Source organism: Homo sapiens, chromosome 1 (assembly GCF_000001405.40).
Source record: "Homo sapiens chromosome 1, GRCh38.p14 Primary Assembly".
NCBI classification, from domain to species: domain Eukaryota; kingdom Metazoa; phylum Chordata; class Mammalia; order Primates; family Hominidae; genus Homo; species Homo sapiens.
In genome coordinates, this window is record NC_000001.11 from 116,751,950 (window position 1) to 116,774,909 (window position 22,960).

General features: G+C 44.1%; 1 protein-coding gene across 2 annotated transcripts, besides 25 other annotated features; it reads left to right on the forward strand.

Annotated features, from left to right (window-relative positions):
* Positions 1-2,598: a promoter, noted in NCBI's record as "CM2.5 BglII to +55 full-length promoter fragment; includes DHS1 and DHS2". NCBI's record gives its function as "CD2 T cell-specific gene expression" and the evidence as "EXISTENCE:reporter gene assay evidence [ECO:0000049][PMID:7929376, PMID:11181063]".
* Positions 231-730: a transcriptional cis regulatory region, noted in NCBI's record as "0.5 kb activator PCR fragment". NCBI's record gives its function as "CD2 transcriptional activation" and the evidence as "EXISTENCE:reporter gene assay evidence [ECO:0000049][PMID:11181063]".
* Positions 231-1,234: a DNaseI hypersensitive site, noted in NCBI's record as "DHS1; 1 kb PCR fragment from PMID:11181063; includes activator and silencer regions; the nucleotide coordinates are approximate for this feature". NCBI's record gives the evidence for it as "EXISTENCE:in vivo cleavage assay evidence [ECO:0001075][PMID:2567000]".
* Positions 731-1,234: a silencer, noted in NCBI's record as "0.5 kb silencer PCR fragment". NCBI's record gives its function as "CD2 transcriptional repression" and the evidence as "EXISTENCE:reporter gene assay evidence [ECO:0000049][PMID:11181063]".
* Positions 1,068-1,097: a transcriptional cis regulatory region, noted in NCBI's record as "AP2-binding site probe; binds an unidentified factor but not AP2". NCBI's record gives its function as "required for repressor activity" and the evidence as "EXISTENCE:reporter gene assay evidence [ECO:0000049][PMID:11181063]".
* Positions 2,156-2,598: a promoter, noted in NCBI's record as "CM0.5 AccI to +55 minimal promoter fragment; includes DHS2 only". NCBI's record gives its function as "CD2 T cell-specific gene expression" and the evidence as "EXISTENCE:reporter gene assay evidence [ECO:0000049][PMID:7929376, PMID:11181063]".
* Positions 2,176-2,575: a DNaseI hypersensitive site, noted in NCBI's record as "DHS2; the nucleotide coordinates are approximate for this feature". NCBI's record gives the evidence for it as "EXISTENCE:in vivo cleavage assay evidence [ECO:0001075][PMID:2567000]".
* Positions 2,435-2,464: a protein binding site, noted in NCBI's record as "USF-binding E box motif". NCBI's record gives its function as "required for CD2 basal transcriptional activity" and the evidence as "EXISTENCE:protein binding evidence [ECO:0000024][PMID:7929376]".
* CD2 (CD2 molecule) lies at positions 2,481-17,280 on the forward strand. 2 transcript variants are annotated; one of them, NM_001328609.2, is made up of 5 exons: positions 2,481-2,604; positions 2,682-3,002; positions 8,453-8,683; positions 12,457-12,657; positions 16,515-17,280. In NM_001328609.2, exons 1-5 carry the CDS (start codon positions 2,544-2,546, stop codon positions 16,832-16,834), a joined length of 1,134 nt encoding a protein of 377 aa, NP_001315538.1. In that variant the 5' UTR covers positions 2,481-2,543; the 3' UTR covers positions 16,835-17,280. The 2 variants fall into 2 exon arrangements, with proteins under 2 accessions (NP_001315538.1, NP_001758.2); NM_001767.5 differs by having other exon boundaries at positions 12,535-12,657.
* Positions 17,268-18,367: an enhancer, noted in NCBI's record as "1.1 kb exonuclease III-digested HindIII fragment with partial/complete exclusion of HSS2 and HSS3; 3' coordinate approximate". NCBI's record gives its function as "CD2 enhancer that lacks copy number-dependent and position-indpendent function in transgenes" and the evidence as "EXISTENCE:transgenic organism evidence [ECO:0001131][PMID:1682894]".
* Positions 17,268-18,567: an enhancer, noted in NCBI's record as "1.3 kb exonuclease III-digested HindIII fragment with exclusion of HSS3; 3' coordinate approximate". NCBI's record gives its function as "CD2 enhancer that confers mosaic expression in transgenes" and the evidence as "EXISTENCE:transgenic organism evidence [ECO:0001131][PMID:8599090, PMID:10581035]".
* Positions 17,268-18,767: an enhancer, noted in NCBI's record as "1.5 kb exonuclease III-digested HindIII fragment with partial exclusion of HSS3; 3' coordinate approximate". NCBI's record gives its function as "CD2 enhancer that confers copy number-dependent but mosaic expression in transgenes" and the evidence as "EXISTENCE:transgenic organism evidence [ECO:0001131][PMID:1682894, PMID:8599090]".
* Positions 17,268-19,389: a locus control region, noted in NCBI's record as "2.1 kb HindIII fragment". NCBI's record gives its function as "lymphocyte-specific developmental regulation of the CD2 gene" and the evidence as "EXISTENCE:transgenic organism evidence [ECO:0001131][PMID:1682894, PMID:8599090]".
* Positions 17,268-22,877: a biological region, named in NCBI's record as "CD2 locus control region". NCBI's record gives its function as "regulatory_interactions: CD2 | LOC107161156".
* Positions 17,305-22,877: a locus control region, noted in NCBI's record as "5.5 kb BamHI-XbaI fragment". NCBI's record gives its function as "lymphocyte-specific developmental regulation of the CD2 gene" and the evidence as "EXISTENCE:transgenic organism evidence [ECO:0001131][PMID:2564317, PMID:7665895]".
* Positions 17,668-18,267: a DNaseI hypersensitive site, noted in NCBI's record as "HSS1; the nucleotide coordinates are approximate for this feature". NCBI's record gives its function as "LCR enhancer region" and the evidence as "EXISTENCE:in vivo cleavage assay evidence [ECO:0001075][PMID:8599090]".
* Positions 17,700-18,229: an enhancer, noted in NCBI's record as "550 bp AflII-MstII fragment". NCBI's record gives its function as "minimal CD2 enhancer" and the evidence as "EXISTENCE:reporter gene assay evidence [ECO:0000049][PMID:2209539]".
* Positions 17,715-17,735: a transcriptional cis regulatory region, noted in NCBI's record as "CD2E1 sequence". NCBI's record gives its function as "necessary for full enhancer activity" and the evidence as "EXISTENCE:reporter gene assay evidence [ECO:0000049][PMID:7706298]".
* Positions 17,803-17,826: a transcriptional cis regulatory region, noted in NCBI's record as "CD2E2 sequence". NCBI's record gives its function as "necessary for full enhancer activity" and the evidence as "EXISTENCE:reporter gene assay evidence [ECO:0000049][PMID:7706298]".
* Positions 17,803-17,826: a protein binding site, noted in NCBI's record as "CD2E2 SOX4-binding site". NCBI's record gives its function as "reporter gene transactivation" and the evidence as "EXISTENCE:protein binding evidence [ECO:0000024][PMID:7706298]".
* Positions 17,901-17,923: a transcriptional cis regulatory region, noted in NCBI's record as "CD2E3 sequence". NCBI's record gives its function as "necessary for full enhancer activity" and the evidence as "EXISTENCE:reporter gene assay evidence [ECO:0000049][PMID:7706298]".
* Positions 17,998-18,029: a transcriptional cis regulatory region, noted in NCBI's record as "CD2E4 sequence". NCBI's record gives its function as "necessary for full enhancer activity" and the evidence as "EXISTENCE:reporter gene assay evidence [ECO:0000049][PMID:7706298]".
* Positions 17,998-18,029: a protein binding site, noted in NCBI's record as "CD2E4 Elf1-binding site; cannot confer transcriptional inducibility on a reporter gene". NCBI's record gives the evidence for it as "EXISTENCE:protein binding evidence [ECO:0000024][PMID:7706298]".
* Positions 18,268-18,617: a DNaseI hypersensitive site, noted in NCBI's record as "HSS2; the nucleotide coordinates are approximate for this feature". NCBI's record gives the evidence for it as "EXISTENCE:in vivo cleavage assay evidence [ECO:0001075][PMID:8599090]".
* Positions 18,668-19,067: a DNaseI hypersensitive site, noted in NCBI's record as "HSS3; the nucleotide coordinates are approximate for this feature". NCBI's record gives its function as "required for prevention of position effect variegation" and the evidence as "EXISTENCE:in vivo cleavage assay evidence [ECO:0001075][PMID:8599090]".
* Positions 18,696-18,707: a protein binding site, noted in NCBI's record as "HBP1-binding site". NCBI's record gives its function as "necessary to protect transgenes integrated in heterochromatic regions from position effect variegation" and the evidence as "EXISTENCE:protein binding evidence [ECO:0000024][PMID:10562551]".

Consider the following 22,960-nt stretch of genomic DNA (forward strand, 5'->3'; position numbering starts at 1 on the left):
AGATCTGTCTCAAATTCTTTTTGGTTTACAAAGGTAAGAAGTGAAAATTTCATTTCAGTTCTCTCACAATCTAATACCTGAAAGACAAGCACTGTAAAAAAATTCAGCATCAACCCTTTCAGGCTTTTTTCCAACACATACCTTAATAACAACATAGTATGCTATGGTATACTGGTATACCCATAGCATAGTATAAACATAGTATCATATATAAAAAGGACTAATCCTATAGATATTGTTTTGCAATGTGCTCTTTTCATGTGATTTACCAAAAGCATCTTTCCATGTCTTACTTTTAGGCCTATGTTATACTATTTTGATGGTTATACAATATTTCATAATATGGATATACCATAATTTTAGTTGTTTGCAATTTTTTATTACAAAAATGCTACAACAAACGTCCTTGAACAGAATTTTAAAACATCTGTGCAATCATTTCTGTGGGATAGATTTCTCAAATTAAAATCACTAGGTGAGAAAAAGACATAAATTTTAAAGTTTGGTGGAAATGATAAATTCCTTTCCCCAGAAGGTATTGATTTACATTCCCTCTGATGTTGTATGAGGGTTCATTTCTCCACACACTCATGTTAATAATGTAAATTATCATCTTTTCTAATTTTACCAATCTGATGGTGAAAAATGGTATTTTATAGCTAAGATATATACATATATTTTTGGTCACATTAGACTCCTCTTGTAGGTTTGATATTTCTTCTGCGAAATATTTCTTCTGCAAGCTGATCATTTATATCATTTGCCCATTTTAAAAACTACTTTGTATTGATTGGTAAGAATTATTGGTAAGAATATTTTGAATATTAATAATTTTATATATATTGCAAATATTTTGTCACGCCTTTTCATTTTGTTCCTTATTTCTTCATCTGCATGTAAATCTTACTTCTTTATATCATCAGTTGTGTTCATCTTTTCTTTCTTACTTTGGATTATATGTTATATGTAGCCAGGCCTTCCATACTCAAACTATAGGAATATCTTTCTATATTGTCCTTTTAGCATTATTGTTATTATTTTATTTATTTAGTTATTTATTTTGAGACAGAGTCTCACTCTGCTCCCCAGGCTGGAGTGCAGTGGCACAATCCTGGCTCACTGCAACCTCCGCTTCCCAGATTCAAGCAATTTGCCTGCCTCAGCCTCCTGAGTAGCTGGGATTACAGGCGCACATCACCACACCTGGCTAATTTTTGTATTTTTAGTAGAGATGGGTTTCACCATGTTGGCCAGGCTGGTCTTGAACTCCTGACCTCAGGTGAGGAGGTCCGCCTCGACCTCCCAGAGTGCTGGGATTATAGCTGTGATCCACCACCCCCGGCCTCCTTTTAGCATTATTATAGTATTTTTGCATTTAAAACTTTAATCCAACTGTAGTTCATTATTGTGGATGACGCTCATACAACCATGAGGTAAATATTTGGCTTTCTTTTACCCAGTAACAGCAAACAACTGCTTTGACTTAATTTCATTTCCTTGGCAACTTTCTGACAGATAATATCCATATTTGTACTTAAAGTTGAAAAAGAAAACGAGCACCACTTTTGCAATTTTTACTCACTGTGACCTAAAGAATTATAACCCTGAAAATGTGCTTTGGAAGTCTGTCATGGTTATTTCTCTTTTTAGGCATCTTTTCAGGGCACACCCGTCTCTGCATCACTGTCTGTTTCCTTGTGTCACAAATTTCTGTTCTTTTTTTCTCTCCCTGTTCCCTCTCATTTATTTTTTCTCCTAATCTCTCCTTTTTCTTAACCACCTATAATGTTAATCACTTTAAATGCTTTTGACTCCTTTGTTTTGGTAGTTTAATTATATTTCATAGTCTCTATGCTTCTTTGTTTTGGAATAAGTTTTTATTTATCTAACTGTGAATTTCACTAGAGTTGTAAAATGTATGCCGAACATAGGATTTGGGGATTGCAAGCATTTACAGCTGATATTCAATTTCTTTCTTTTCACCACAAAAACGATTTTAGAACATGAAAAATATCTTTGGAGAAACAAAAAAATCAATTTCCTCATCATTTTATGGGTCTACATTTTTCAATATAATCATATGGGATAAATGTTTGCATTCTGCTATTGGCTTGTGAACATTTACCTATATTTCTATGTGGTCTTGTTAGGGACAGTATACCTAAGTGGATAAAAGGCTGTGTGGTTGAATTTGGCTTCTTGTTTACAAAAGAGTGATCCTTAGTGATCTACTTAGCCTCTCTGTTCCTTTTCTCTTTCACTGAGATGAGAAAACCTATCCTTCCCAATTTTTTTGTGTGAGAATTAAAATGCAGCAAGAAAACACACACTCATAAACACATCTGCTTTGGCAAAGGAGCACATCAGAAGGGCTGGCTTGTGCGCGCTCTTGCTCTCTGTGTATGTGTATTATGTTTTATGTTACTGTAAAAGATGTAAAGAGAGGCACGTGGTTAAGCTCTCGGGGTGTGGACTCCACCAGTCTCACTTCAGTTCCTTTTGCATGAAGAGCTCAGAATCAAAAGAGGAAACCAACCCCTAAGATGAGCTTTCCATGTAAATTTGTAGCCAGCTTCCTTCTGATTTTCAATGTTTCTTCCAAAGGTAAGCATAAGAGTCAAAGAAGTCCCAACCCAGCTTTCCCTGAAAGTGACTCTCAGTAACTCTTTTGCTTTTTATAGGTGCAGTCTCCAAAGAGATTACGAATGCCTTGGAAACCTGGGGTGCCTTGGGTCAGGACATCAACTTGGACATTCCTAGTTTTCAAATGAGTGATGATATTGACGATATAAAATGGGAAAAAACTTCAGACAAGAAAAAGATTGCACAATTCAGAAAAGAGAAAGAGACTTTCAAGGAAAAAGATACATATAAGCTATTTAAAAATGGAACTCTGAAAATTAAGCATCTGAAGACCGATGATCAGGATATCTACAAGGTATCAATATATGATACAAAAGGAAAAAATGTGTTGGAAAAAATATTTGATTTGAAGATTCAAGGTAAGTGTTCATTCCCTTAATTGCTTTATTTCAGTGTGGGTGCTATTTGGCAAGTTGGAAAATAGCATTTCTAATATTCCCCAGCGCTGACCTCTGCCTCCAGGGGGGCTATACAGGAAACCAGATGCATGTCTCCTGCCCCAGTGGAGACTGTGGTCCAATGCGGGAATGGGATCCACACATCTGATAGACCCTCAAGTCTACCTGCCTACAACTCTGTCTTCAGGTGGTTACAGGAATGTGGGGTTGGGTGAAGAACCTGGATTAAGGTGGCATTAATCGGGAGGGGGACACAGGTAGGCCGAGGGAAAAGGCAACTGTTCCAGGTTGCTGATGAATCGGCGAGCTAAGAGTGGGGCGAGAAGAAGAGGCTGACTGGAGAGCAGCGGGCCTTTCATCGACAGAGCCCATTTCAAGCCAGGCTGCCCTGAAGGAGGAGTTATATGGCAGAAAAGGGCTGGAAACAACATATTTAAGGATGAACAGCCCTTATTTTGGATCTGCTTGTCAGAGTGATACAAGGTGGCAGGTGATTTTTGCTGATATGTGTAGAAGATGCACAAGGTGTGGCTTTGTATATCTCTGCCTGTACTGGGAGGACAGGAGTGGATATTGAGGATGGGGTTAGGGAGACTAGTTAGAAAGCTGCTGCTGTAATCCAAGTGGAGTGAGGACCAATTAAATCAGATTTTTTTTGCATGCGGCCTGGGTATCATTAGGTTCTAAAGCTCCCTGGGGGATTCTAATGAGCTGCCAAAGTCAATCGCCACTGGCCTAGACCAAAGGGTGCCTCTAAAATAGGAAGAATGAGGATAATAAGGGTCAGGCATAGAGAAAGGTGGCTTAGGCAAGGGAGAGAAGGTAGAGAAAGTGGAATCGAAATGCCATTGAAGTTGAAAGCCCGGGGGGATGCTGGGGAAGTAGTGACAAGAAGGGAAAAGAAGAAGCTGCGCTTGACTTGGGGAGGCAGACAGGAACCCCAGCATGAGCACAGGCCAGCCATTCAGTGAGCAAATAAGCATTTCTGTGCTTCACACAGAAAATATCACCAGAAGCAGGGACCCCACCTTCTTCCTCTCTGTCTCCAGCCCCATCTTCAGCACCTGGGCCTACCAGCAATCCCAGATAGTGTCAGATTGCCCACTCCAGCAATCCCAGACACTGTCAGCTCCCCTGAAGTGACAACTTTCCACACCCTAGTCCTGCAACCTTGAGTGGAGAGCACCTTGTAGAAATGTAGTGGGGTTGAGCATGGCGCTGAAAAGGGCCTCTGATTATGGGCTCTGGAAACCACAGATCTCAGGACTCCAAACAGCACAAAACTCGAGTGTCCTGTTTTGAGTGTGAGCCCTACGCGGGGGACCATGCTGGTGTTTTCACATTTGGGTCGCATTTAGCATTGCGGCGGAAATAATGGCTACCAGTTAGGGGTCAAGTGCTTGCTTACATGATCTTATTTAAAGCGCCCAACAATACTGAGACCTAGTTGTTATTATCTCCTTGTTATATATAAGAAAACAGAGACCTAGTCAGAAGCAGCTTGTCCAAGGTCTCATTGCTTGACAGGAGCAAAGTCAGGATTCAAACTCAGAGGTCTTTTTGGCAAGAATGACGACCTTTTCTTTTTTTTTCCAAGCAGCTTCATTGAGATAATTCATCTACCATTCAATTTGTCCATATACTAAAATGGCCTTCAGTATATTCAGAGTTTTGTAACCATCACCACAATCAACATTTTCATTGCCCCAAAAAGAAACCCTTCACCCTTTAGCCGAAAGACAGTGACTTGCTTTATGTGTGTGCACGTCAATGTCATACAACATCTTGATTCAACTTGTAGTTGGTCACTATTACCAGACTTAAGGTGACCATGGCCTTGGGCAAATTCCCTATCTGCTGTGAGTCTGCTTTTCCAATGACAACTTCAAGGGATATTCAGTGAGACAAGGTGTGTACAAGTGTCCTGCAGTGCCTGGGGCACAATGCCTGTTTTCTCAGTGCTAATGCCCTCCCACATCTCTTTGTTTCTCCAAGCTTCTCTTTTTTTTTTTTTTTTTTTAATTGAGATGGCATCTTGCTCTGTTGCCCAGGCTGGAGTGCACTGGCATGATCTCAGCTCACTGCAGCCTCTGCCTCCCAGGTTCAAGCGATTCTCCTGCCTCAGCCTCCCAAGTAGCTGGGATTACAGGCATGTACCACCACGTCCGGCTAATTTTTGTATTTTTAGTAGAGACGGGGTTTCGCCATGTTGGTCAGGCTGGTCTCAAACTCCTGACCTCAGGGGATCCGCCTGCATCGGCCTCCCAAAGTGCTGGGATTACAGGTGTGAACCACGCACCCGGCCTCCAAACTTCTCAAACTCCAGTAGTTGTGCCTGCATTTCCTTCATGAGGGAGTTGCTGCTGCAGGCTGAAGAGGCAATGGAGGGCCCCTTAGAAGCAGATGCTAGTAGGGAAGGGGTTAATCCCAGCAACTCAGAATTAAGGAGTTCTCATCCATGGAAGGCCTTAGGTTGGATCAGTTCTAAGACGCTATCTTAGTGAATGTATACGGAGGTACTACTCCACAAGGGTGCCCATCACTGCATTATTCATGTTAGCGAAATACTAGAACAGTCAGCAGTTAGAAACTTATTAATCAGTTAAATTAAGAATGCATCCTTTAAAAAGATGCATATATGCATTTATTGATGTTCATTAAGAAAAGAACTTCATAATATAATTTCACAATAAAGGGGAAAAGGCAGACTGTAAGATCACATAAATTAGTTTTAATTTTTAAAATATTACATATATATATATAGAGAGAGAGAGAGAGAGAGAGAGGCAGACAGAAAGAGACAGGGTCTCACTCTGTCGTCCAGCCTGGAGTGCAGTGGTGAAATATTGGCTCACTGCAGCCTCTGCCTCTTGGGTTCAAGCAATTCTCATGCCTCAGCCTCCTGAGTAGTTTGGATTAGAGGCGCATGCCAACACACCTGGCTAATCTTCATATTTTTAGTAGAGATGTATTTCACCATGTTGGCCAGGCTACTCTTGAACTCCTGGCCTCAAGAGATCCGCCCACCTTAGCCTCCCAAAGTGCTGGATTACAGGCATGAGCCACCTCTCCCAGCTGAAATATTATATTATTTATATATATACATATAAATAGAAAATATCTGCTAAAGATATACATGAAAATATTATTCATTATTGACTTTGAGTGGTGGCGTTGTGGGTAATTTTTAATCTGCTTTAAACTTTTAAAAATATTTTATCAGCTTGTACAATGATTGGAGTTGAAAGCCCACGGATGCTGGGCAGGGAGTGATAAGAAGGGAAAAGAGGAAGCTGGCTTGGGGAGGAAGACAGGAACCCCAGCATGAGCACAGGCCAGCCATTCAGTGAGCAAATAAGCATTTCTGTGCTTCACACAGAAAATGTCGCCAGAAGCAGGGACCCCACCTTCTTCCTCTCTGTCTCCAGCCCCATCTTCAGCACCTGGGCCTACCAGCAATCCCAGATAGTGTCAGATTGCCCACTCCAGCAATCCCAGACACTGTCAGCTCCCCTGAAGTGACAACTTTCCACACCCTAGTCCTGCAACCTTGAGTGGAGAGCACCTTGTAGAAATGTAGTGGGGTTGAGCATGGCGCTGAAAAGAGCCTCTGATTATGGGCTCTGGAAACCACAGATCTCAGGACTCCAAACAGCACAGAACTCGAGTGTCCTGTTTTGAGTGTGAGCCCTACATGGGGGACCATGTTGGTGTTTTCACATTTGGGTCACATTTAGCATTGCGGCGGAAATAATGGCTACCAGTTAGGGGTCAAGTGCTTGCTTACATGATCTTATTTAAAGCGCCCAACAATACTGAGACCTAGTTGTTATTATCTCCTTGTTATATATAAGAAAACAGAGACCTAGTCAGAAGCAGCTTGTCCAAGGTCTCATTGCTTGACAGGAGCAAAGTCAGGATTCAAACTCAGAGGTCTTTTTGGCAAGGATGATGACCTTTTCTTTTTTTTCTAAACAGCTTCATTGAGATAATTCACCTATCATTCAATTTGTCCATACACTAAAACGGCCTTTAGTATATTCAGAGTTTTGCAACCATCACCACAATCATGTTACTGTGTTGCTGTTATAAGTAGAAAAAAAATATTTCCATTCTGAAGAGACGGGCAAACTTCGTGACCCAACCTCTAGACTATGTACTAACTCTGTTGCTGAATGTTGATAATTTCCATTTTCTTCCTTCTCAGTAACGCAGAATCTTGGGATGAGAAGAAAACTTTTAATTTAATTTCTGCATGCCTATATATATCGGGACATAAATGAAGTTTGACTATGGTGTTCCATGGGGAAAATATTGGTGTCTGGAAGTCAGAGTGGGAGGGAATCATTGAAAAATAAGCTAGTCCATCTATATTATGAATGGAGAGAAACTGAGAGGGAAAAGTGGCAAGTCTGGGGGGAACAAAGTAAAGAATGAGAAAAAAAAAAAACAGAAGACGAGGAAAAGGAAAAGTTCACACAGCTAGGAAGTGATGGGGCTAAGATGTAGACCTGAGCCATCTAATGCTAGGCCTAGGCATTTTCCTTTTGTGGTGCAATCTCTGTGCGGGAGAGGCAAGAGGTTTGTGATTATCGAATGCATGAATTACCACTAATAATGTCAGTGCCTAACGATCTGCCCAGGGCTTTGCCACATGTTGCTCCTTTTGTGACAGGTAGGGTATGTTTTTCTGATCCTTTTCTGATGCTCTGAGGAGGGCCAGCGTAGACCCTGTGAGCAACTGAGCAGCTCTGGGCTGGGAAAAGGCAGAATCAAGTCTCTGGTTCCCAGGCAGGTGCTCTTTTTCCCTAGAGCTTTGAGCTCCTTGGACACCCACACACTCACATATACCCACCTGGCCCACTGCTCCAGGAACTTGGTGGGGGCAGAGGTATCCAAGGTCCCCAGTCACATGTCAATGTGGTGATTCCTCCAGGATGGGGTTCCTGGCTGCTGTTAAAGCATTGCCTTTCTCAAACTCTGGAGGCACTTTCTTACCCATACTCCTAAACCCTGACTGCCATGTTTTAGGTGGTGCCCCAAGACCACCTACTGGACCTCTCAGAGCCTTGAACATTTTGTCTGTAAATGGGAAGAAAAACATCAGCCTGTCTGTTAGGGTTAAGTGATGTCATATATGTGAAAGCATTTTAAGGTATAAGACAGCATATAAACATTACATATGATACACTATTTAGTGGCATAATGTATCTGTGAATGTCATCAGAAATAATTTTTTTCTGAATGCTCTTTGTAAATAAAATAAAATAAAATAATTTCCAAAAGTTGCTAGAGGTCTTTGACATTGTTCCCTTGTCCCTAACTGACTCCATCCCCCACTGTATAAATAGATATGTTTATTAAAATCAGAAAATTGCCTAAATTGAACTGAATCTTTACTTTCTTTTTAGAGAGGGTCTCAAAACCAAAGATCTCCTGGACTTGTATCAACACAACCCTGACCTGTGAGGTAATGAATGGAACTGACCCCGAATTAAACCTGTATCAAGATGGGAAACATCTAAAACTTTCTCAGAGGGTCATCACACACAAGTGGACCACCAGCCTGAGTGCAAAATTCAAGTGCACAGCAGGGAACAAAGTCAGCAAGGAATCCAGTGTCGAGCCTGTCAGCTGTCCAGGTGCGTGGCGGGCATCACTTCACAAACACAGCCTGCCAGGCCCTCAGTAGGCAGAGGCATGCTGCTCCAGGTCACAGGTGCTCATGCTGGGAGGCAGCCCTGGCTCAGGATGAGGCATGAAAGCATATCTCTTCCTCCTGGAAACCTTCAAGGGAAGCATCAGGGGAGGTGGTGTTCTATGGTTTTCCATCCTGGGAGTCCTCCCACTGAGCACAATTTGACCACAAGAAATTTTAAAGATCCTCTTCTAGGAGAAAGAATTGCAAAACTGAAGAAGGAGGAGCTGTAGAGAGTATCTCATGCAAAGCCCCATTTTCCAGAGAGGGAAACTGACTTGCCCAAGGTCCCTTGGCTAGTTAGTGACATGATTCCAACTGCTCCCCTAAAGATGGTTAGTGGTCAGCACCTCCCATCAGGAGTAAAGGTAGAAAGGCTGCAGAAACCCTGGGGGGCAGGGTCATGGGGGAATGGAGCCCTTGAGGCCAAAGAGGACTGTGGACAGCAAGGCAACACTCCTGGCACACAACAGGACGGCAAGGCTTGGGGACTAGCTCCAGAAAATCTCAAAACTCCAAGACCATAATGGATCCCCAGTGTCCCAGCCTGATGTGACCTCCAGAAGTATTTCTGAGAGGCAGCCTTCTATAGTGCCCAAGCTCTCGCCTGGGAGTAGAGGTCTGGACTTCTAGTTTGGGTCTGTCCAAATTTAGCCAGAGAATCTTGACAGAGTTTCTTCCCCTCTCTAGGCTTCAGCTTCCTGGCCCACAAAGAAAATAAGCACCATGTTCACAGACTATTAGATGAGTAGGCTCTTGGATCCACTTCCAAGTTCATTCATGTGGGCCGTTGGGCTGCCTCACAATATGGCAGCTAGCTTCCCTCAGAGCCCTCTAAGAAAGAGCAGGAATAAGTGCCCAGGACAAAAGTCGTGGTCTTTTTGTAACTTAATCTCAGGAGTAATATCCCAATCACTTCTGCTGTGTTCTGTTCATTAGAAGCAAGTTAATAAGTCTAGCCCACATTCAATCAGAGGGGATTGCACATAGGTGAGAATACCAGGAAGCAGGGGTCATTGAAGGCATCTGAGAGTCTGCCAATCACCAACTTGACCAGCATCACTTCACCCCCGGTTTTCCCACCAGTCATCCTCCCACATTCCCCCATCACTAAGGCACAGTAAGTGAAGTTGCCTCTCCTTGACTTCGCAACTTTTTTTGAGACAGGGTTTTGCTCTGTTGCCAAGGCTGGAGTGTGGTAGTATGATCATAGCTCTCAGCAGCCTCCACCTCCCAGGCTCAAGCAATCCTCCCACCTCAGCCTCCCCAGTAGCTGAGATTACAGGAGCATGCCACCACACCCAGCTAATTTTTAAAATTTTGTAGAGATAAGGTCTCACTCTGTTGCCCAGGCTGGTCTCGAACTCCTGTGCTCAAACTATCCTCCCACCTCAGCCTCCCAAAGTGCTGGGATTATAGGCATGAGTCACTGCAGTGGCCTCGGGAGATCTTTGATTAGAGTTGCCAGATATAGCAAATAAAAATACAGCATAAGTACGTTTCAGATATTGCATGGAACATACTTATGCAAGAAATTTTTCATTGTTTATCTGAAATTCAAATTTAACTGGGTGTTTTGCATTATATCTGGCAACCCTACTTTTCATGTTTATTTTAACTGGAGCCCACAAGTATAAATATGTGTGTGTATTAGGGATGGAAGGAGGGAGAGAGGGAGGACCTTGGGAGCAGCCAAGGTTTGAAGGCTGGAACACTTATGTCCCTTACTCTATGGTGCAGAGCAGAAGCTCATTGCGAGAAGGACCACTAGGGAGATGGGAAGAATACCTGGGGAGAGATTAGGGTGGAGGAGCTGCTCTTGAAGACCCGAAAAGGGATTTGGAAGTTTTATTCTGAAAGGCCAAGGCAGAGAGGAGCAATGGTCAGAGTCTGACCATTTGGCTCAGATTAGGTGAGTGTTTACATACTTAAAATCAAAATACTAGGAGGAAGGAACAGATTCAGATGCACAAAAATAATTTGTCACATAAACTCATGGGCATGTGATCTCCAAGAGATACTGTTGGAAGATAGTATGCCTGGATTTAGGAACTGGGAGGGCATATTTTTGACTGACAGTGCCACCGCTGCTTCTGAAACATGATGGAACATTCCCCACCAAAAGTACTACCAGGTGCCCCAGGGCACCACCCTGGACAAACTGGAGAGCAGGCTGTGTAAGGCATTGCCTACATTCCTGCATGTGCCCAAGATAAAATTGTGGCCACCCTACCCGATGACTTGGAGGGAAGATGGAGCTGGTGGCTGCATGACTTAGCCATGTGCTCCCCAAAGCATTTCAGGCCTGCCCTGCCCCACCCCGGGTCAAATCTGAAAAGTTCTCAAGCTCAGCAGGAAGTGGCCTCTGGTATCTCCTGCCCCTCGTCCAAGCCAGCAGGGCCTAAAGGGCCCTGAATCCTTTACTGACCCAATTTCAATGGTTTAAGATTATGTCTGCTTCTCTGGTGGAGGCCTCTTCATCAGTAGAGCTTAGAGAGTTGTGTAACTGGCAGGCAAAGAATGGGTCAGAGAGAGACTCGAGGAAAGAAAGCCAAGATGAATAAACCACCACAGTTTGATGATCTGTTAAACTTGGTTTCTGAGCCTCTGACCCTCTCCTTGGGGCCCATCCTGGGCTTCATGTATAACAGTGTCTCCCTGGTATGTTTTTGCCTGGAGAAGCATTTCTTTTGTGATGCTGGGCCAAGTTCCAGTTTGTTCTTCAGATGACCCCGTCCCCTGACCCGAGCCCCACTGCTGCTTTTCTAACTGCTATTGACTCACAAAGGGCAGACAGCCCTAGAACCCCTCCTGTTTCCCCTGTTGCTGGGAAACAGCTCCCAGAAACACCAGTGCGAGAACACTAGTAAGAGCAAGACCTCACATTTGTGTTGTTTTACAGTTTACAAAGCACTTTCATATCCATTATCTGATTGACTTCCAACAGCCACCCTATGATGTAGGTTTCATTATCTCCACTTTACAAAGAAGGAAACAGGCTCAGAGAGGTGAAGTAACTCTCCAAAGTTCACACAGCTCCTGCCTAAAAAAGCCTAGACCAAACCCATTTCCCTTAACACCAAAGTCACTGTTTTCCTCATTGCATTACAGTGACTGAAGGTCCAGCAACTGAAGACTAAGCCCACTGCTGTTACTAACGCACTGTGCACCCGGGTTTCTCTCGTGGCTCCAGGGAAACTCTGTGAGAGGGTGCTGGCCGTGAGGTCAGAGTGCTGGGCTGGACAAGTGAAATATTTACCCTGAGTGTTTGGAAACTGCCTGGTAGAGACAGTGAGAAGGAATCATGGTGCAGTGGGGGTAGCCAGAGACGAGAGCAGGATCAACAGTGCAGAAACACCGAGACAAGGGGCTGCTTAAGGGAAATGCTCAGGAACAGATATTGTGTGGCTTCGGGCAACTCATTCTCCCTCTCAGGGCCTCATGTTTGAAGCTAGAGGTTGCATTTAGAGTATCTCTAAGATCCTCGGATCTAAAATTTCGTGATGCTTTCCATGACGGGGGCAGTGGGCAGGCCGGCCTTGGTGCATGAACAATCAGGCATTTCTAGCCCCTGAGAGCAGTTTCCCAAAGAGCCTGCAGAGGGAGCTTCCCAAGGACCTTGGGTCCTTCCAGGGTTGACACCACTCACCACCCTCTGTGAGCCTGGGAGTTATGGGGTGAAAGGTCCCAACAAGCTCTTCTATCTGCTTGATGCAGGAGGCAGCATCCTTGGCCAGAGTAATGGGCTCTCTGCCTGGACCCCTCCCAGCCATCCCACTTCTCTTCCTTTTGCAGAGAAAGGTCTGGACATCTATCTCATCATTGGCATATGTGGAGGAGGCAGCCTCTTGATGGTCTTTGTGGCACTGCTCGTTTTCTATATCACCAAAAGGAAAAAACAGAGGAGTCGGAGAAATGGTAAGCTCCCCCTCTTTTGTCCCACCGCAGGCCCCAGCAAAATCCCCATGAAACAGCTCATGGGGATGACACCTTGAATCTGCAGAGAAAATGATGGAAATAGGTAGTTTCGGAATGTCAGGGTTGTAGTCAGCGGTTATAGCTTGTTTCATTTTGTGGTTAGCTTGATTTTTGAAAAACAAATTCTTAGTGGTGACAATGTGGGAGCTTTGAGACACTGAATCCAGTTGGCCTCATTGGAATCCACCACTGAGGCCTACTTGGTGACAGGCTAATGTGAACATCTTTTGAATGAGCCACACTTCTCTACATAGGCAGAAAGGTTAGCTCCAAAACACCGTTTCTAGGAATAAATGTCCTATCTATGGGTGGCCCAAGGTGAGTTCAGGACCAAGCTCCTAGAAACACAGGGAAAATCATTCAGGTCATCAGGTAGTCACAGGAAAACAGCTGTTCTAAAGCAGGGTGCCTGTGCCCCCTTTGCTAATTCTCTGTTCGAGGGATGTGTTAGGGTTGAGAGTTTTTCCTCAGATCAGGCCTGTCTGACAATCTATCAGCAATGAAAAGGTTATGCTTGCAAGTGGGGAGCCGGCTTAGGGAGCATCCAGGCCACCCAAGGCAGAACACTTCAGAGAATGGCCAACCCGGGGTCACTGTGGGGGGCACAGATGAGGGTGTCAGCCATTGGCGGGACTTGCAGCCAAGGGAACAGGCCCTGGGGTTCTCTGCAATTCACGTTCACAGCAGGACTTGGTCTCTCCCTAGAACCGGCAGGCACAGCCACACCAGCTGCTTCCAGTGCTGCCCAGGGAGGTGGTCCAAACTTCCCCAGGCACCGGTGGCCTTGGGCCCCGTGCCCTCTGGATTTGGCTTCTTTACCTCAGATTTCTTCCTCAGTTCTCCTTCTGCCTCCCCATCAGGCTGCGGTCCCTCAGCCCCACGTCCCATCACGTCACTACCCCCAGCCCAGGCCCCGAAACATCATCCTGAACTTAGTCCCATTCTTCCCACCACGACTGTCCCACACTTTCCACCACAGCACAGCAGAATCGCTGGCAGGGCCCTTAGGCATGCCTGGCTTATCCTCCTCTGTGCCCAGCTCTGGCTGTTCTCCATGCTCCTCTCCATGCTCCTTCTCCATTGACTAATGGTCAAAGACCATATCTTCTTCCAAGGTGGACCTCACTTGTCACCCCAAGACAAGGCAATCTCTGCCATCACCAGGCTGAGAAGAATGATGGTTAGCTCATGCTGATAAAAAAGTCGTTAGTCTCTGTGTTTTATGTCTATTAGTGCATCCAGCTTTCAGAGTGATCTTAGGAGATAGATAACAACACAGATGAGGAAGCTTAAGTTCAGTGAGGTTCAATTATTTGCCTTAAATCCTATGGCCAGTAGGTTGACTCAGGCCTAGGCCGAGGCAAGGAGCCCAGAATTTAAGGCATAGAATTTAAGGAGGCTGGCCTGCCCTTGCACAACCTGAAAGTTGGTGTGTCTTTAAACTGCATGCCTGTCAGCCTCGCTTGCCTCATTCCAGTCATGCCCTGGGTTGAGTAACCAGGAGATGCAAACAAGGGAGAAGGACAATGAGCCTGGAGGAATTCCTGGGAGCACACATTTAGGCGCCAGCTGCAGCTGCTGGAGTGGGTAGGCTGAGGACCCACTGTCCTGCTTGAACCAGGCAGGGTGCACAGAGCCGTAGCCAACCTTGTCTGTCCAACCCTGCCTGCAGTCTCAGCCATGTGGCTACACCCCATTCCTCCTACCAGAGCTCATGTGCCTCTGTCTACACTTTCTGGTGGCCCTGGGCTCTTCACAGAAATTGACATTGCGATTTTCAGTTCTTGTTTGCCTCTTACTTGATTTTAGGCTTCCTGAGGACAATTTGTGTCTAAGTCACAATGACACTTAACACTTGGAAGATGAGGAATAAATGTTGGAAGGACAAATGAACCAAATGGTGTATGGGCCAAGTGTGGTGGCTCATATCTGTAATCTCAGCACTTTGGGAGGCCGAGGCAGGAGGATCATTTGAGCTCAGGAGTTTGGGACCAGCCTGGGCAATATAGTGAGACCTGGTCTCTACTTTAAAAAAAAAACTTAAAAATTAGGTGGGTGCATTGGTGTATGCCTGTAGTCCCAGCTAGTCAGGAGGCTGAGGTGGGTGAATCATTTCAGCCCGGGAGATCAAGAATGCAGTGAGATACGATCACACACTGCACTCCAGTCTGGGCAACAGAGCAAGGCCCTGTCTCAAAAAAACAAAACAAATAAAAAACAAAAATAGTGGGTGAACAGAGTAGTAAACCAATGGCCAGTGCAAGCTTGCCACATAGGAGATGAAGAAGGACCACCCACTGCCCCATAATTCAGAACTAGGGCCAGGGGTTAGAGCCCTCTCCACAGTCTACTGGACATAACCTAAGCAATGACTGCAGGGCACGGAAGATGGCATAGAGGATGTGTTTTGTCCTTTCTGGAGGCCCTTTCCTCTTTGTGCTTAGAGCACACGAGCCATTTAGGTATCAAAATCACATTGTCTAACTTTGACTCTACACTCAAAGCCATCTGATGCTCACATTTCATGTAGTCAGAGGAGGCCATCTGGTTTGAATCAACATCCGGAAGTTACAGGGTGATGCTTAGAGAGGGCTTGTGCTTCCCCAGCCACACATCTCCATAAAGATGTAAGAGGTAATTATTTCAGCTGGGTGCGGTGGCTCATACCTGTAATCCCAGCACTTTGGGAGGCCAAGGCAGGCAGATCACCTGGTCGGGAGTTCGAGACCAGCCTGACCAACATGGAGAAACGCCATCTCTACTAAAAATACAATATTAGCCGGGCGTGGTGGTGAACGCCTGTAATCCCAGCTACTCAGGAGGCCGAGGCAGGAGAATTGTTTGAACCTGGGAGGCAGAGGCTGCAGTGAGCCAAGATCGCACCATTGCACTCTAGCCTGGGCAACAAGAGTGAAACTTCAACTCAAAAAAAAAAAAAAAAAGAGGTAATTATTTCACCCCAGGGAAAAACTTCTCTTCCTACCTCCCTCTGGAGCCACTGCAAAGACGGCCTTGGGTGCAGGGACTGAAATACCTAACTTACAGCCTAAAGGAGTCCAGAGGGGCCAGCAGGGTGCTCCAGGCCTCTAGCAGCTGGGCACCTTCACAGATTCCCTGTGATTTTAAGAGTACAGGAAAAACTACATTACGAGTAGCTGTAGGCCTGCTTTCATGGACTGAAGTCACACAAAGAAGAAAATCCTGAAGGGTGAGGAGAGGAGGAGTTCTTTCCCTCCTAAGGCCAAGAACATAGGTCTTGAATTTCTGAGAAGCGAGTAAATTTCTAAGGACAAAAAGTTCCTTGCATGTGTTCCAACCTCTTGCCGGAAGGTGGATTGCATGACAGTAGAATTGGGGGAAAGGCAGATCTAACATAGAAATGCCTCAGAAGGAATGTAGTTACTAATATCCTCCATGACTGCTCATAACCCCTTCCCATGCGCTCTAACCATGAGGTTCTTGCTCTCAGGGAACAATTTCTAGGTCAGCACAGAGGTAGGGTTCCAGGTCTGCGTGCTCTCTCTGATCATGGGAGCCCCAGGCACAAAGCCCTCCACCCATGTGTCTTCTTCCTGCTGATTCCTTGAGTTCTCTTGTCCTAGGCTTTCACTCTACCTTATGGTGAGCACTTCTTTCTCTCCTACAAGCTTAGAGTTCTCAGATAGTAGGGGCAACTTCTGCTTCCTCATTGCATCCCCCAAAGCAGCTAGCATGGCGCCTTGCATATAAAAGGTACTCAATATTTACATTGATTTCACCTGGCCAAGATGAACTCTATTGAGGTTTTGTTGTTGCAGATGAGGAGCTGGAGACAAGAGCCCACAGAGTAGCTACTGAAGAAAGGGGCCGGAAGCCCCACCAAATTCCAGCTTCAACCCCTCAGAATCCAGCAACTTCCCAACATCCTCCTCCACCACCTGGTCATCGTTCCCAGGCACCTAGTCATCGTCCCCCGCCTCCTGGACACCGTGTTCAGCACCAGCCTCAGAAGAGGCCTCCTGCTCCGTCGGGCACACAAGTTCACCAGCAGAAAGGCCCGCCCCTCCCCAGACCTCGAGTTCAGCCAAAACCTCCCCATGGGGCAGCAGAAAACTCATTGTCCCCTTCCTCTAATTAAAAAAGATAGAAACTGTCTTTTTCAATAAAAAGCACTGTGGATTTCTGCCCTCCTGATGTGCATATCCGTACTTCCATGAGGTGTTTTCTGTGTGCAGAACATTGTCACCTCCTGAGGCTGTGGGCCACAGCCACCTCTGCATCTTCGAACTCAGCCATGTGGTCAACATCTGGAGTTTTTGGTCTCCTCAGAGAGCTCCATCACACCAGTAAGGAGAAGCAATATAAGTGTGATTGCAAGAATGGTAGAGGACCGAGCACAGAAATCTTAGAGATTTCTTGTCCCCTCTCAGGTCATGTGTAGATGCGATAAATCAAGTGATTGGTGTGCCTGGGTCTCACTACAAGCAGCCTATCTGCTTAAGAGACTCTGGAGTTTCTTATGTGCCCTGGTGGACACTTGCCCACCATCCTGTGAGTAAAAGTGAAATAAAAGCTTTGACTAGACCCGTGTCTGCTCATTGTGTGAAGGATCCCAGTGTCGAGGAGAGGAAGCTGCCGAATAAGAAAGAGCCTCGCTGGTGTGACAGCAGGATCAAATTCAGTCAACTCAATCCGGCTGAGACCTCCTTAGTCCTCACCAGAATGACCCGAACATGCTCCCCAGGTCTCAGCTGCAAAGCTGGGTCCAACAACCTATTTGTAGATTTCCATAATGAATTAAAGCCTCCATGCACAAACGTTAACAGGAGTCACCAGAAAACTTAACATTTTAGGTCTTACTTTCTTGACTGTTCAGACACGGTCATAATGACCTGTACTGTCATCCTTCAAAACAAGGGAATCTATGGATACTGGAGGTGTCATGAACTCATCAGATGACATACAAAAAGATAGGCTAAGAGACAACTCAGTTGAATCAAATCTTAAGTGTCTTAAATGACTATGATTAAAAGGTCAGACCCCATCCCCAGCTAGCAGTCATGCAGCTGTACTTTGAGGGAAGTGGGGAGAAAAAAATAGTTTTCAGTTAGAGTTCTAAAACAATAGGTGGTGAGAAGGCACCTGCTTTGAAATGCTGGTGCCTTGTCTGTGGTCCTGTCTGCCCGCCTTCTCCTTGGCTTCTTAGACTTGCTAAACCTTGTTACACTCTGGCAGGAAGCTCTGAGGGCTAAACCACAAAAACTAAGTACATTCAGGACTTCCTGTGACAGCTCACTGAGGATTGAACTACTTTTTCCTCTGAATCTGAGAGTCTATTTTTCCAGCAACCAGAGTTAATTACTAAGGGCAATGATGAATGAAACCTCATCGCCTCCCAAAATTCAAACACAAAATCCAGCTAGGTAACAATTGCCACAGGATCTACCCAGTAGAGAGATGAGGGCTCTGGCCGGGCATGGTGGCTCGTGCCAGTAATCCTAACACTTTGGGAGGCCAAAGCAGGTAGATCACCTGAGGTCAGGAGTTTGAGACCAGCCTGGCCAACATGGTGAAACCCCTTCTCTACTTAAAAAAAAAAAAAAAAAAATTAGCCGGGCATCGTGGCACGCACCTATAACCCCAGCTACTCGGGAGGTTGAGGCAGAATAATTGCTTGAACCCTGGGGTGTGGAGGTTGCAGTGAGGTGAGATCGTGTCACTTCGCTCTAGCCTGGGCAAAAGAGCAAAACTCCGTCTAAAAAAAAAAAGGAGAGAGAGAGAGAGAGAGAGAGAGAGATGAGGGTCCTAGCTCTGCCCCTTTCTCATTCTTCATGATACCCATGAGTGATTTCATTGGCTATCTCACCAGAACAGCTCATACGCCATTCCCTTAAGAAAATCTTCCCTGGTCTATTCAGCCCTGGGCTCTGCCTTTCTTCTGAACTCCTGTGGCATTACATATGGTACAAAACACATACACCCTATTCAATCCTTCATCGTTCATTCATTCAACGAACATTTATTGAACTTCTACTATGTGTCAGGCTCTGTGCTAGGCACTAGGAAAACAGAGGTGTACAATTGCATCTCTGCTTTCAAGGAGCTCACCACCTGGTAGGCAAGAAACGGACCAACCATGGGACAAATGCAATGCAGTATGATAAATATAGGTCAGAGGCAAGTGCATGAACCCAGAGGAAGGACTTTGAACCCAGACTGAGTGGTAAGACTGGGGTGACAAAGAGGGCTTCCTAGAGGAGGGACGTTTGGGTTGCGTTGTAATAGATTAATTGAACTGGTGAAGCAGAGGTACAGAATTACCCATGTAGAGGCAACAGCATGAGCAAGGCTCATTTGGCTTTCTGTTTACACAAACATGTAGTTTCTTTTTCAACTACTGTATTTAACTGATTTGAAGATGTCATTGATTTTTCAACTACTGTTTTCAACTTTTTGTATTTCTTTTTCTTTTTTAACAACTATATTTAACTAATTTGAAGATGGCATTGATTTTAAGTGGCATCATTCTTTTACATGCCACTAAGAAAGAGAAGAACACTTCTCAGTTGCATTGTAACAAATACTAAGATACAGTCAACTTTCAGTCACAATCCCATTCCTGAGATATTAAAATGTGAAAAAATGTTATTTTATGTTAGTGCATTTTAGAATTGATGAAATGCATAGTAAAGAAGCTTTTTGAGTACAATGACCATTTCTCAATATCGCTGCCAGCACTTTATTGAAGCTATCATTAGCCAATTGATTCAATGGGTGAGCCCAGTCCTGATGAAAGGAAGGGAAGTGAACATACACAACATGCTTGTCCTCCTTATCCAGGGAAGATAAGACAGATTCTCTGCCCTGCACCACCATTAGGTGGGAAACACGAACCTTGCTTAAGATTTGTGCTGCTGTCACCCACCTGTCTGACACTGTGTGACATCCCACTGAACCTGCCCCAGAGCATGGACATTCTGAGAAGTAGTCAGGCCAGCTGCGTAGGAATAGCTTGTAGAGCTTGTGAAAAAAAAAAAAATGCTGACACTTCTGTCAGTCAGGTTGGGGGCCAAATAAACATATTTTTAAACAACCTCTCCAGCTGATTCCAATGGGCATTCAAGTTGTAGACAACCTTGGAGACTATAGATAATGCAGTATTGTAAGAAAAATAAACAGTTGTAGCCCAGTTAGCTATTCCCCCACAAGCAAATCTCCAATAAGAAGGCCAACCATGTTGGAAAAAATATCCACATAATTTAAGGCACTGGAACATCGCAGAGGTTTATATGAAGACAGAAAATTTAGAGGTTTCTGATAGCCTATCTGCCCACCCTAAATAATAGTCTAATACTAGCAGCTGGACCAGCTTAGCTCCAAAAGGGTCTCAACTGTAAACTGGGAAATTTCATCTCAGTCCTCCTGCTCCTTTTCCTTTGCTAATTTTCTAATGTTAGGCTCCTTACCCATGCTCAGTGGGTTGCAGTGACTTGGTGACTCAAGTTCACCAATAAGTTTGCCACCTCAGGACCACTGTACATGCTGTTCCTATTATACATGCTGTTCCCACTGCCCACACTTTTCACCTGGCTCTTCACCTGTCCACATTCTTCTTTCAGAGTTCAGACAGAAAGTCATTTCCTGGGGGAGACCTTTCCTAACTCTTGAACTCCACTGTAACGTGAATCTTGTGTGAGACCATCTCTGTGTCCAGTTCTGTGCCCATGAAGTTCAATGTAGTAGAAGACTCACAGGTATCGAAGCCAGGAAGTTCTGACTCTCTCTCTCACTGGATTTGTAAGCTTGAGTAATTTATTCAGCTTCTGTAAACACTGATTTTCTCATCTGCTAAATGAGGATAACACCTCACAAGGTTAGAGTGAGGACTAAATGGAAATAATGTATGTAATGTAACAAATATATCCTTGTGTACAGAATGCATCTGAAAACTGTGAGCTTTATTTCTGGCATGATACTCAAGAAGGAATATCCTGGATGGCACATATAAATGGGCTAGTTATTGGAAAGACACACAGCTCATTATAAATTGATAAATAAGCACTCTGTAAGGTGACTTAGTCTGCTATGAGTTTGATTCATCTGAGTCAGTTTCATAATGTTGCCTCACATGGAACAAATGGATGATAAAATCCTACACCAGAGGTATTTAAAGCTAAAGAACAGACCTGTGAGGCCACCTCGCAAATCCTAGATTGAGTCACCAGCCTTCTGTCACTTCCCTGGCTTCATAAGCAGGGTTTTCCTGAAGAAAAAATGCCAGGACATTACTTAAGTACATGGCATCTTTCTGGTTTATTTATAGCAACACAGAACAAAAGGATGAGGAAACAAGGGAAAATTCTGATCTTTTTAATTGCCTACCAGACAATGACATTACAAAAAAGAAACTACAGGCCAACAACTCTCACAGATACAGATGCAAAATTTTTCAAAAAATATTAACAAATCAAATTTGACTGACAATGTATAAAAAGGACTATACATTACAACCAAGTGGGATTAATCTCAGGTATGCAAAGCTGGTTCAACATTTGTAAATCAATTAGTATAATCTATCATATCCACAAGCTAATGAAGAAAAATCACATGATCCTATAAGTAGATACAAAAAAAGAATTTGACTCCTGTTTATCAACACCTGTTTATCAAAAAAACTTTTGGTAACTGGGAAGAGAGGGAAACTTCCTCAACTTGATTAAAAAAAAATCTACAAAAAAGACATGCACCTAACATTTTACTTAACAATGAGAAACTCTAAACTTTCCAGTAAGATCAGGAATCAGGATGTTTCCTCTCACCACTGTTTCTCAACATCATATTAGAAGTCTTAGCTAGTGCAATAATACAAGAAAAGGAAATAAAATGTATGCAGGTTGGGAAGAAATAAATAAAACTATCTTTGTAGATGACATGATCGTTTGTGTAGAAAATCTGAAAGAATCAACAACAAAATAATACTGGAACTAATAAGGGATTATATTAATAGCAAGGTTGTATTAAATAATTCTTACAAGGTTAATATTAAAAAGTCCATCAGTTTCCCGTATACCAACAATGAACAAGTGCAATTTGAAATTAAAGACATAATACCATTTACATTAGCACTCAAAAAATGAAATACTTAGGTATAGATTTACATGAAGAAAACTACAAAACTCTAATGAACAAAATAAAGGAAGAACCAAATAAATGGAGAGCTATTTTATGTTCATGGATAGGAAGACTCAATGTTGCCAAGATATTAATTCTTCCCAACTCAATCTGTAGATTCCGTGTAATCCTGGTCAAAATCTCAGCAAATTGGGCTGGGTTTGGTGGCTCTTGCCTGTAATTCCAGCATTTTGGGAGGCTGAGGTGGGCAGATCACTTGAGGTTACGAGTTTGAGAGCAGCCTGGCCAACATGGTGAAACCCCGTCTCTACAAAAAGTACAAAAATTAGCCGGGCATGGTGGTGTGCACCTGTAATCCCAGCTACTTGGGAGGCTGAGGCAGGAGAATCGCTGGAACCTGGGAAGTGGATACTGCAGTGAGCCAAGATTGTGCCACTGCACTCCAGCCTGGGAGACAGAGTGAGACTCCATCTCAAAAAAAAAAAAAAAAAATCCCTGCGAACTATTTTGTGGATATTAAAGTGATTCTCAAGTTTATATAGAGAGGCAGAAGTCCCAGAATAGCCAATATAATATTGAAGGAGAACAAAATTGGAGAACCAAACTGCCCCACTTCAAGATGTACTATAAAGCTACAGTAATCAAAATAGTATGGTATTGGTGAAAGAAGAGACAAATAGATCAAATGGAACAGAATAGAGAGCCAGAGAAACCCATATAAATTTCATCGTCTTGTCCAAGCTTGTCCAACCCTCAGCCCGCGGGCACCATGCAGCTCAGGATGGCTTTGAATGTGGCCCGACACAAATTTGCCAACTTTCTTAAAACATTATGAGATTTTTTTTCTGTACTCATCAACTGTTGTTAGTGTTAGTGTATTTTATGTGTGACCCCATTCTTCTTCTTCCAGTGTGGCCCAGGGAAGCCAAAGGATTGGACACCCCTGATTTGACAAAGGAGCAAAAGCCAAACAATGGAGAAAGAATGGTCTCTTCAACAAATAATGCTGGAACAACTTGACATCCACATACACAAAGAGAAAAATGAATCTAGACACAGATTTAACAGCCTTCATAAAAATCAACTCAAATTAATTACAGACCTAAATTTGGTGGCCTGGATACTAAATTTA